The sequence below is a fragment of the Homo sapiens genome, chromosome X, assembly GCF_000001405.40.
Source record: "Homo sapiens chromosome X, GRCh38.p14 Primary Assembly".
NCBI classification, from domain to species: domain Eukaryota; kingdom Metazoa; phylum Chordata; class Mammalia; order Primates; family Hominidae; genus Homo; species Homo sapiens.
In genome coordinates, this window is record NC_000023.11 from 141,578,814 (window position 1) to 141,590,928 (window position 12,115).

Genomic DNA, 12,115 nt, shown 5'->3' on the forward strand with positions numbered 1-12,115 from the left:
CTTAAAATATATTTGTAGGAGATCAAGGATAGAAGAAATAACCCATTGTCATTATTACATTACCAAATATTTTTCAGAATCATTTTTTGTTTGCTCAGATGATTTTCAAAAACATCTTTAGCTACTTAATTTAACTTGTTAAGTATTCAGACTTGTGAAGCTTTCTACCAATTTAGGTTTAAGCTCGTCTCCTCTCTTCTCTCCTCTTCTCCTTTCCTCCCTCCCTCCCTCCCTCCTTCCCTCCCTCCCTTCCTTCCTCCCTCCCTTCCTTCCTTTCTTTCTTCCTTACTTCCTTGTCTTTTAGATTCCTCCCAGAGCATAAGATAACACAGGACGAGGTTTGCTGTCTGAAATGCGTTGAAGTCCCCTGTTATTACAAGAGTTCAAAAACGTGATGACCTCCAAAGGATGCTTAAGAAATAGAATCAGTCTTAAGTTGTAGTGTGGTGTATGGGGATCACTCTCTAGGGTCCATATTTAGTCAATGACAAAATATTTGCTGACTTTCAAATGGATCGGTGATTTCTTGTTTTTGTTTTTGTTGTTTTGAGACAGAGTCTGGCTCTGTCACCCAAGCCGGAGTGCAGTGGCACGATCTCGGCTCACTGCAACCTCCACTGCCTGGATTCAAGCAATTCTCCTGCCTCAGCCTCCCCAGTAGCTGGGATTACAGGCGCCCGCCACCACGCCCAGCTAATTTTTTTTTTGTATTTTAGCAGAGACAGGGTTTCACCATGTTGGCCAGGTTCGTCTCAAATTCCTGACCTCGGGTGATCCGCCCGCCTCGGCCTCCCAAAGTGCTGGGATTACAGGCATGAGCCACTGCACCTGGCCAGATCAGTGATTCTTGATTTTCTTGGCCATGAAGAAAATGATGCAATATGCTCTTCAAGGGCCTTTCTGCAGAATAGAGAAGATGAGATGCAAACTATTCTCATTGATGAACACCTTGGTTATAACTATATCTCTTTCTCTTACATTCAGAAAATTGTATTGGAATGCAAATGGTTGTGAGAGATACCACTTTTTATTGAAACAGCTGGCACATGAATATACCTGGTTACAATGCTTGGCCGAATGAGAAATGCAATGCCATTTTATGTAATTGCACTTAATATGCATGAGTCTCACACTTAATCAATTCAGAATCTCAGAATTTCCCAATGTTGTATCCATCGAACATCTCCTGAGATGCGTATCATCCCATCTGGCCCTAAATGGCTGATTCATGCAGAACATTTTCATGTCATCCCTCAAGCCCAACCACAGGGCACCTTCAGATCCAACTCTCTTTAAAACACTTTAGTGTCCTTCTTAGGGGCATGAGAAACATCAAACTGGTTTCTTTCACCATTCTGATTCTTCAAGAAAGGAAGTAGAGCTGTTATAGGCCATTTAGTGACTATGTGCTGCTCTCAGGTAGCCCCTCTCCCTCTGCTGTCCTGCACAGAAAAACATAGTACATGATTAACTATGTAAGACTCTCTCAGGCCCATCTTCCCAGGCAGAACACTTGGACATGTCTTTCTTCTTTATTTTTATTATTTTAAACTGAACAGATAAAATGGAATGTGTCTATCATGTATCTAATGTTTGAAGTATATACATTGTAGAATGAATAAATATAGCTAATTAACATATGCATCATCCCACAAAGTTATCATTTTGTATTGAGAACACTTACCATCTACTCTCTTAGCATTTATCAATAATACAACATATTATGATCACCTGTAGTCACCGTGTCGTACAATGTATCTCTGCAGCTTATTCCTTCAGTCTAACAGAAATTTGGTATCCTTTGAGCAATGTCTTTCCAGCCACCACCACCGAGCCCCTAGTCACCACCATTCTACGCTCTACCTCTGTGAGACTTCTTAATTTTTTATTATTTTATTTTTAAATTTTTGTTAACTTTTATGTTAGGTTCAGGGGTACATGTGCAGGCTCGTTATAAAGGGAAGTTGCGTGTCACATGGGTTTGGTGTACACATTATTTCATCACCCAGGTAATCAGCATAATAGCTGATAGGTAGCTTTTCAACCCTCACCCTCCTCCCCATCCTTTACCCCCAAGTAGACACGGGTGTCTGTTGTTCCCTTCTTTGTGTCCATGTATACCGATGTTTAGCTCTTGCTTATAAATGGAAAAAGGTGGTATTCCATTTTCTGTTCCCACGTGAGTTCGCTTAGAGTAATGGCCTCCAGCTCCATCCATGTTGCTGCAAAAGACATGATCTCGTTTTTTTATGGCTGCATAGTATTCCGTGCTGTTTATGTACCACATTGTCTTTATCCAGTCTGCTGCTGATGGGCCTTTAGGTTGATTCAAAATCTTTGCTATTGTGAATAGTGCTGTGAAGAACATACGCATGCGTATGTCTTAATGGTAGAATGATATATATCCTTTGGGTATATATCCAGTAATGTGATTGCTGAGATGAATGGTATTTCTAAGTTCTTGCAGAAATCACCAAACTGCTTTCTACAATGGCTGAACTAAGTTACATTCCCATAAACAGTGTATAGGTGTTCTCTTTTCATTTCTTTCAAGGCAGCAGGTTTCTTTCTGGCCTAGGGTGTGTCTAGAAATGTTATCCAGGAGCGAGTGCCTGGAGCAGGGGCTTCACAACCCCGACCGGTGCCCTGTCCCGCTGTAGTTGAGCTGGTATTCAAGATGCAAGAAAAAAAACGCTCCTCACTATTCCATCTCCTCAAGTGGAAGGAGGGGGTCTTTTATGGAGCCGCTAGCTGGGCAGTCTGGGGCTAGGGCAGGGGTGACACCAGCACTCACTTGGCTGCCCCAGCTGGTATCTCAGGAGGTCATGTGCACCCCTCCACATACCCGCCACAATCCACTGCCTCTGGGCCCAATTCTATGCTAGAACTCACCTACGAGTTAGAGATCTTATGGCCTAGACTGCCTTTAAGGTTGTCTGAGAAACCTGGAACCGTTTCTTAGCCCTTGGTGGCAAGGTTTGCAGAAACTCAAGTTCTGATTCCTGGGATGGGTAATTTCCCTCTGGCTAGAGGTGGTTTCAATGCTCCCTTCCCAGATGGGAGTCAGCTAAGTTTGGTCTGGTTTTCCTTTCTCCTGTAAGAGACAGCACCGAGGTCAGCGACCCACAACTGCTCTGCTCTTGCTCGTCCAGCTTCCAGAGATGCTCTTTACACCATACTGCCACTGCCTAGGATAGGGAAGGGGTGGGGTCAGCGATTTAAGACTGTTTCTTCTAACTCTTCAGTGCCTCTTTCAGTGATACCGCCAGGTACTATGAGAGTTCCCCTGATTTTGGGTTCTTATGGAGGTGTTTTCTACTGTGTGGATCGTTGTTAAATTTGTGTCCTTGCGAGGGGGCTGATCTGGGCAGCCTTCTATTCTGCTTTTCTTGCTCCGCCTCTCTCAGCTTAGTTTTGGTTTGGTTTTGTTTGTTTTTCCTCTGCAATGCCTAAGGCTAAAGAATGTGATCCCGTATTACTATCCTAAATATGAAAAATTCTTTAATGTCTCGTGCTGGGTGGAAATAGTAGTTTGCAATGAGGAATACCTTCAATTGTACATATCAAAGAGTAAGAAAAAAAGCATTGGGATTTTTTGTTTTTACCTTGTGGTCCGACAACTTGAAAGAATATTCTTTTATTCCAAAGATGGTACGTGTGGGATTTTGTTCCGGAAATCAGTGCTAGGTATTTAGGTATTTGGTTGGAGAAAAGCAAACTGGTTTTTGTCTATTGATATTTAGTATATTTTATTTTTTCATGTTATCCATGACAGTGTTATGACTTAGCAAACAACAGTTACAAATAACTAAAATTGTAATTGCTCCTGCATTTCTATTTAACTCCCTCATGTATCCTGAGAAGACCTTCTTGTTTTACCTAATGATCTCTCCAACACCCCTGAACTCTCAAGAGGTAGACACTATGTGAAGGTCAATTCAAAGACAGAAACTAAAACCCCATCCACGGGTGACTCCATGGTGAATCCCTGTGGTGTCTTTTCCCGCTAACCGATGTGTATCCACCAAGCAGTTTTCTTTTTCAGTATAAATATTATACTGTTTGACATTTTAAGACACATGGTAATCAAAATCTATAGCCTTAATTAAATGATGACTTTCAGGAAATTATCATGCAAAATGGAAGTGTTAGGAAGCCGATAATAGACACACTCTCCTAAAAATGATCTCACCACATCACACCTAACCCTTCTCACCACCTTGCAGTTCACATTCCATGGGAAAAAGCTCCTCATACTTAAGAGTGTTTTACTTTCCTTTTCCCAAGTCATGGCGATTTTGAATATTCACCCTTTGCGGATATCAACACATTTCTAAAGTATACTTATCTTGATTAAAGACTGCTGAGGTCATTAAAACACTAACAAATATTTAAGATGCATTGAACATTTTGTTTTAGAATTGGCTTTTCAATCATTTCATCACAAGCAATGCTTTCCTGCCGTTTACTTACTCCTACATCTACTATCTTCTTTTGTATTGTGCTTTGTGTTTTACAGAACATTTGCTCTTTATAAAGCATCTATTTCTAGCCTAGGAAAATATCAAATGGAAAGGGGATGGGAATACCTTTGATATGTCCATTCAGCAGAACTATGTGCTGCCGGGTACAGTTGCGTGAACATATACACATCTCCACTTCCTGTGAGATAAAATTTTAAGAAGAAAATTTTCTTTAGGAATCAGTCCTCCCCCAGGCCTTATTTACAATGTCTGGCTTACTGTCAACCTGTGGGTCTGTCCACCAACCCTACAGGACCTCATATCCCTCCCTTCTCAAATGCCTACCTCTTCCCTTCCCTTCCCTTCCCCCGCCACCATCAGAAAACAGGCAGAGATATACACAGCCATCAGCTTCTCAAACTTTATTTTCATTGCCCAAGGTTGAGAGATGTAGCTTCTTGCTACTTTGCAGGTATTTCAACCATTATTTCCATGAATTCCTCCTCCTCCATTTGGAGGGGGTTGATTCTGTTCTCTCGGGCGTGGTCATTCAGCAGTTCCTCTGGAGATGTTCTTTTAAAGTTCCTCCTGTAGCGAACCACTAGTATGGTCGAGGACTCAGATGTTTTCATTTTTTTAGGAGCAGGTTGCGGGTCTGAGTCCCCAGTTGGGGTCTCCGGCATCTGTTAAGAAAGCAGGGAGAGGCCAGGAGGACATTATTTTGGGTGAACAGGATAGAGACTGGATAGCAAGGGGACTTCATGAGAAGAAGGAATGCGGGTTGAGGAAGGGGTTTGATCCAGAGAAGAAGAAGGTTGAAGCACAGAGTAGGGATCTATGGGGAAGAAGAAGAGGAGCGTGGGTAGGGTCACCTGTGAGTCCAAACTGCACCATTTTGTCAGTTCTTTGCTATTTTGCAGACCTTGGTCAAAGTGAAACATCCCATGGGGGTTCAGGCCGTGAGAAACATCCTGCCTAACCACCTGTCCGCAAGGCGGACAAAGGCCCAACTGAAGAAACATCCCTATCATATCTTGCTTGGCAGCGTTCTAAGGAACACCACAATGATATTCCACCAGAAAAAGGGCCAAACCACCTGATCATAAGAACATCTTATCAATATCCTGCCGGGCAGCAAGCCATACTGCCCAGGCCCCTCCCACCCCTACCTACAAGCACCCCAGCCTGTAAGCGGCGGTGGGCTCTGGCATTAAGCGGGCCCCCCACTTCCACAATGGTCTGCAATATTCCTGTGTTGTTGTTTGAGCCGCCCCCGCTCTGTGTGTCTTTCTTTCACCCTCGCCTTCACTTCAGAACCTAACAGTCTTACCATCTCGTTGGCCTCGTTGGAATCACAGGGGACGCTCCTCTTCACCCCGCCGGCACTGGATTGTTTGTCCATTGTATATATTGGTTCTTCAATGTCAGTGGCAGGCTTTTGTAGGTTTTGAATCTTCTCAGTGGCCCGGAGCTCTTGCCCTCCCTATGTATACCCTCCTGGTGACAAGGCAAAGCCACACCCTTGAGCTTTGTTTGATCATACAGGCAGTGTCCCAGCCAATGGCAGCCCTAGGGTGGCTTCACATCACAAAGCCCCACTGCTGACCACTCCCTGGGCTTGCGGGCGAGGGGTGACAGGGGTGTAGAGCAAACCAAATGCTGCTGTTGTTTCAGCATCCCCTGAAGATGCATCCCAAACCGATCTGCCGCCGCTCCTCATTTCTCCATGTTTAATGTTCACGGTTCACATGGAAGTCAGAGGATGATTCCTTCAAGCCCTTCCCCACAGCCATTCCTATTAAGTGATTCATTCTTTTGTCTTCCAGCCCTCACCATGACTTAGTATTTTCGATGTCTCACCTCAAATCCCCCACGCTAGTGTGGCTACATTTATTTATTGGCGGAGATGTGAATTATCCCATTTCCCTCCTACAGTTCCTTCACATGCACCTCGAAGACCATTTACTTTTGGGCTACTGCTGAGATGAATGGTAATTCTAAGTTTTTGACTAAAACAGTTATTAGAACAGAGAGTATTCTTGGATTTTTAAGGAAGAAAGTAGCTTGGACACTTAGAAATGTCTTTGTTAAAAAAAAAAAAAAAAGTACACTGTAAAACCGTCACTTGGTGTAGCCTCATAGTAATTCTCCCTTTTTGGAGACCTAGGATTCAGTGTGGGCTCTGCCCAGAGCTCAGAGATCCAGTTAAAAGACAGGTAGTCCCTATCTAAATACAACTGGTCTCCTTATACAATCCTATATTTCTACAATTTTGTGTTTGATTTGGCATCCATCTTCAATCTCCCTCTAACATCACCAGACTCTTTCTCTCGGTGCTTTGAGATGCAAATTTCACTATCTGATTTTTTTTACCTAAGGGTTCCTTTAATATGCACATTTAGGGCTATCTAGCTGACAATTGCCTAGGGCAATAAAATAGGTTATGAAGAAATTGTAAATCTAAAATACGAGGAAAAAATAAAGGCCTTAGGAATTTATAAGATCTACTTCTATCTACATGTCTAATACATCTATGTATTTATGTGTCATGGATATGACATTTCACTACTTAAAATGTAGAAAAAAGCTCTAATTAATTGGCTTAACAAAGGCACTTAAATCTAATGCTTTTCGGAAAAATAGACTTTAAGCCAAATGCTTTTTCAAGTTCATGTGACTTAAGCAAATCTTCAATAAACAAGCTGGTTTTAAAAATTTTAGTGAAATTGAATTAGAAATGGCTTTGGAATTCTCAACATACATTATTTATCTCTGCTAGATGTCAACATTTGGCATGAGGGTTCTAAAGCTATGAATGCAGCTCAAATAAGAATTATCTTTGTTTATGTAAGATTTAGTAAGTAAGGAATTTAATATTGTTTGGTTAATGAAAATAGCTAAATCCTGAGTTATTGCCAAAAAAACAAAAACAAACAAACGAACAAAAAAACGACCCTTTATCTAACCTTAATGTTCTTACTCAGGACAACCTGAAATTCACAGGTTATAAAAATGGTTAACAAGGACATAACTTTAAATGGTAACTATTACAGTTTTCATAAGTAATCTGGGTAAACTATTAGAAAATTAATTAATTACACAAATGTAACAGAATAAGTTCTTGTAGATTATCTTGTCATATAATTTAAAATCCAAAGTTATATTAAGCTAAATAATAGATATTTATTACACGTCTGGGTCATTTCCAATTTTTTTAATTATAGGATAACATTTTTCTGTAAAAAAGAAATGTGATCTTAAAGGAAAATACTTTTTGTCTAATTCGAAGCTTATTTAAAAGTTATTTATGAAATTAGGTAATCAGTGAATAAAAGCAATGTGAAGGAAGTTATGAACAGGCATTTTTGGCACAAAAGGTTAAAAGGAAAATAATTTTATCTGAGCAAGAATCTTGTATAGTAAATTTTTGTTCTAAAATAAAATAACTGGTTATTTAAGAAAAAGGAAGCCTGGGCATGGTGGCTCATGCTTGTTAATTCCAGCATTTTGGGAGGCCGAGGTGGATGGATCACCTGAGGTCAGGAGTTCGAGACCAGCCTGGCCAACGTGGCAAATCCCTGTCTCTACTAAAAATACAAAAATTAGCCAGGTGTGGTGACACGTGCCTCTAGTCCCAGCTACTCCGGAGGCTGAGGCAGGAGAATTGCTTGTACATGGGAGGCGGAGGTTGCAGGGAGCCGAGATGGCGCCACTGCACGACTCTAGCCTGGGCGACGGAGCAAGACTGTATCTCAAAGGAATAAAGAAAGAGGAAGGGATAAAACAGAAAGTCCAAGCTGTCATAAATGATTTGTATAAAGTTGTCTATAATTAAAGGGAAATTATTTATAATAGTCTTTCCAGATTTAGCTTATGATATTAAAAAAACACTAAAAAAATTCATCAGAACAATAAAATTTTCTTAAGGAGTTGATTTACTCTTAATAAATTAAAAGATTTTAATTGTTTAAACCCAAAGTTTAACTTTTATCACATCTCACCATTTTCGGTTTACTCTCCTCTTTTAAAAGGTGAAAATAATAACTCTCTCTTTCAACTCATTTTCAGCTCATATAAGTTTTTTCTTTTTTTCTCTTGTGTTCTGTTTGTTGTGGCCTCATGCTAAAAATGTTTTTTTTTCTTTTTCTTTTTTTTTTTTTTTTTTTGAGGTGAGGTCTCACTCTGTCACCCAGGCTGAGAGTGCAGTGGCACAATCTTGGCTCACTGCAACCTCCCCCTTCCAGGTTCAAGCAATTCTCCTGCCACCACGCCGGGCTAATTTTTGTATTTGTAGTAGAGACAGGGTTTCACCGTGTTGGCCAGGCTGGTCTCGAACTTCTGACCTCAAGTGATCCACCTGCTTCAGCCTCCCAAAGTGCTAGGATTACAGGCATGAGCCACTATGACAGGCCAAAAATTTTTTCTTCAAGGTCTAAAAAAGTGTTTTCTTCCATCTGTGTAACTTTCTGTATGTGCTTTTAAAGTCCTTGTGCCATTGAGTTATAGGGCTTTGACTTCTGGGTCTAAAAAGGACACCAAGTTCTGCTATATCTTAAACACTGACAGCAATTACAGCCTCATCTTCAGGCCCAGTAGAAGATGCTAATCAAAGTAAACTGCGTTCATGAGATGCAGGGCCAGAAATTAAAACTATTCAACTCCTCAAGGCCCAAGGACTATCGTGGAAGAGGTGGGCATGTGAGATTGTAAGGGCTGATATTAAGAGAAAAGTAGCTCAGTTTCTCTAGGAATTAACCATTAATATCAAAGGCACACTAAAGCAAAACCAGTATCTAGGTTGCTGTGTCAGTTTAACAAGGCTTTCTTGGAGCATTAACTCACTCCTTCATGCAAAATGATAAAGGTTACAAGGTTTATAGAAATTATATTTTATACTCAAGATGATTAAACTTTTATTATAAAATTTCAAAAAAACAAATTTCATTTGCCCATCCTGTTTTTAATTAGGGCTTATTGTTTGGGATATTAAGCCTCCTCTCTCAAAGAATAAAGATTTTCACCTTTTTTTTTTTTTCTTTTTTGAAATCTTTGAGTTACTGCTTTGGTTAAATGAATGACTTATTTTACAATGACCCATGACCCTATTTCGTGATATCAAGCATTTTAAATTTTTTATCTTTGACGAACTTTCCAAAGTCAAATTCTAACTTGATTCCTCATTAATTTTTTGATATGAGTCCTCTGAAGTCCAAAAGAGACATATTGGTCTTATTTGGTATAAAAATCATACAAGAAGCATCGTCAAATATAAAATGCTGTTTGACTTTCTTTGGGCTGTATTTATAGAAATGTCATTGATATGTGCTCCAAAATTATGGGAAACTCTTATAATTCTGAAATAACTTCTGTATGTTATTAATTATAAACTTTATGTTAAATTGTTGTATGCTACAGAAGTAACCAAAATTTACTTGTCAATGGTGGTTTTAATAATGGCCGTCCTGGCTGGGTGTGGTGGCTCACGCCTGTAATCCCAGCACTTTGGAGGCCAAGGCGGGTGGATCACGAGGTCAGGAGTTCAAGACCAGCTTGGCCAAGATGGTGAGACCCCGTCTCTCCTAAAAATACAAAAATTAGCCGGGCGTGGTGGCACAGGCCTGTAATCCCAGCTACTCAGGAGGCTGAGCCAGAGAATCACTTAAACCCAGGAGGCAGAGGTTGCAGTGAGCTGAGATCATGCCATTGCACTCCAGCCTGGGCAACAAGAGTGAAACTCCATTTCAAAAAGAGAAAAAAATATACACCCCTGATTTGAAACAAGACTAGGATACACGGTAAAGAATGTTTATTCACTAAAGTTTTGACAGACTGAAGGCCATTATTTCAGATTGGAAATAGGAAACTTGAACTACACGGACACTGGGTAAAAGAACATGGGTTGAAATTTGCCTGGCAGTAGCCCAAAAGTAAATGGTCTTCGAGGTGCATGTGAAGGAACTGTAGGAGGGAAATGGGATAATTCACATCTCCGCCAATAAATAAATGTAGCCACACTAGCGTGGGGGATTTGAGGTGAGACATCGAAAATACTAAGTCATGGTGAGGGCTGGAAGACAAAAGAATGAATCACTTAATAGGAATGGCTGTGGGGAAGGGCTTGAAGGAATCATCCTCTGACTTCCATGTGAACCGTGAACATTAAACATGGAGAAATGAGGAGCGGCGGCAGATCGGTTTGGGATGCATCTTCAGGGGATGCTGAAACAACAGCAGCATTTGGTTTGCTCTACACCCCTGTCACCCCTCGCCCGCAAGCCCAGGGAGTGGTCAGCAGTGGGGCTTTGTGATGTGAAGCCACCCTAGGGCTGCCATTGGCTGGGACACTGCCTGTATGATCAAACAAAGCTCAAGGGTGTGGCTTTGCCTTGTCACCAGGAGGGTATACATAGGGAGGGCAAGAGCTCCGGGCCACTGAGAAGATTCAAAACCTACAAAAGCCTGCCACTGACATTGAAGAACCAATATATACAATGGACAAACAATCCAGTGCCGGCGGGGTGAAGAGGAGCGTCCCCTGTGATTCCAACGAGGCCAACGAGATGGTAAGACTGTTAGGTTCTGAAGTGAAGGCGAGGGTGAAAGAAAGACACACAGAGCGGGGGCGGCTCAAACAACAACACAGGAATATTGCAGACCATTGTGGAAGTGGGGGGCCCGCTTAATGCCAGAGCCCACCGCCGCTTACAGGCTGGGGTGCTTGTAGGTAGGGGTGGGAGGGGCCTGGGCAGTATGGCTTGCTGCCCGGCAGGATATTGATAAGATGTTCTTATGATCAGGTGGTTTGGCCCTTTTTCTGGTGGAATATCATTGTGGTGTTCCTTAGAACGCTGCCAAGCAAGATATGATAGGGATGTTTCTTCAGTTGGGCCTTTGTCCGCCTTGCGGACAGGTGGTTAGGCAGGATGTTTCTCACGGCCTGAACCCCCATGGGATGTTTCACTTTGACCAAGGTCTGCAAAATAGCAAAGAACTGACAAAATGGTGCAGTTTGGACTCACAGGTGACCCTACCCACGCTCCTCTTCTTCTTCCCCATAGATCCCTACTCTGTGCTTCAACCTTCTTCTTCTCTGGATCAAACCCCTTCCTCAACCCGCATTCCTTCTTCTCATGAAGTCCCCTTGCTATCCAGTCTCTATCCTGTTCACCCAAAATAATGTCCTCCTGGCCTCTCCCTGCTTTCTTAACAGATGCCGGAGACCCCAACTGGGGACTCAGACCCGCAACCTGCTCCTAAAAAAATGAAAACATCTGAGTCCTCGACCATACTAGTGGTTCGCTACAGGAGGAACTTTAAAAGAACATCTCCAGAGGAACTGCTGAATGACCACGCCCGAGAGAACAGAATCAACCCCCTCCAAATGGAGGAGGAGGAATTCATGGAAATAATGGTTGAAATACCTGCAAAGTAGCAAGAAGCTACATCTCTCAACCTTGGGCAATGAAAATAAAGTTTGAGAAGCTGATGGCTGTGTATATCTCTGCCTGTTTTCTGATGGTGGCGGGGGAAGGGAAGGGAAGGGAAGAGGTAGGCATTTGAGAAGGGAGGGATATGAGGTCCTGTAGGGTTGGTGGACAGACCCACAGGTTGACAGTAAGCCAGACATTGTAAATAAGGCCTGGGGGAGGACT

At 41.9% G+C, this 12,115-nt stretch overlaps 2 protein-coding genes and 1 long non-coding RNA gene across 3 annotated transcripts in view; 2 read left to right on the forward strand and 1 right to left on the reverse strand.

Moving 5' to 3' along the window:
- Positions 1–12,115, forward strand: part of SPANXA2-OT1 (SPANXA2 overlapping transcript 1) — a 147,091-nt gene that overhangs the window by 75,965 nt on the left and 59,011 nt on the right. The gene's annotated exons all lie outside the window — the stretch shown is intronic.
- SPANXA1 (sperm protein associated with the nucleus, X-linked, family member A1) lies at positions 4,861–5,925 on the reverse strand. Its single transcript, NM_013453.3, has 2 exons — positions 5,794–5,925; positions 4,861–5,146 (listed from the first exon to the last, which is right to left on the reverse strand). The coding sequence occupies exons 1-2, from the start codon at positions 5,863–5,865 to the stop codon at positions 4,925–4,927; spliced, it is 294 nt and encodes a 97-aa protein (NP_038481.2). The 5' UTR covers positions 5,866–5,925; the 3' UTR covers positions 4,861–4,924.
- Positions 10,895–11,949, forward strand: SPANXA2 (SPANX family member A2). Its single transcript, NM_145662.4, has 2 exons — positions 10,895–11,026; positions 11,674–11,949. The coding sequence occupies exons 1-2, from the start codon at positions 10,955–10,957 to the stop codon at positions 11,893–11,895; spliced, it is 294 nt and encodes a 97-aa protein (NP_663695.1). The 5' UTR covers positions 10,895–10,954; the 3' UTR covers positions 11,896–11,949.

Bases quoted from the DNA above. Each gene is read 5' to 3' on its own strand.
- SPANXA1 (NM_013453.3), bottom strand. From the start codon at position 5,865: ATGGACAAACAATCCAGTGCCGGCGGGGTGAAGAGGAGCGTCCCCTGT. The intron at 5,147-5,793 runs GTAAGACTGTTA...CTTTCTTAACAG, and splicing joins CCAACGAGGCCAACGAGATG to ATGCCGGAGACCCCAACTGG.
- SPANXA2 (NM_145662.4), top strand. From the start codon at position 10,955: ATGGACAAACAATCCAGTGCCGGCGGGGTGAAGAGGAGCGTCCCCTGT. The intron at 11,027-11,673 runs GTAAGACTGTTA...CTTTCTTAACAG, and splicing joins CCAACGAGGCCAACGAGATG to ATGCCGGAGACCCCAACTGG.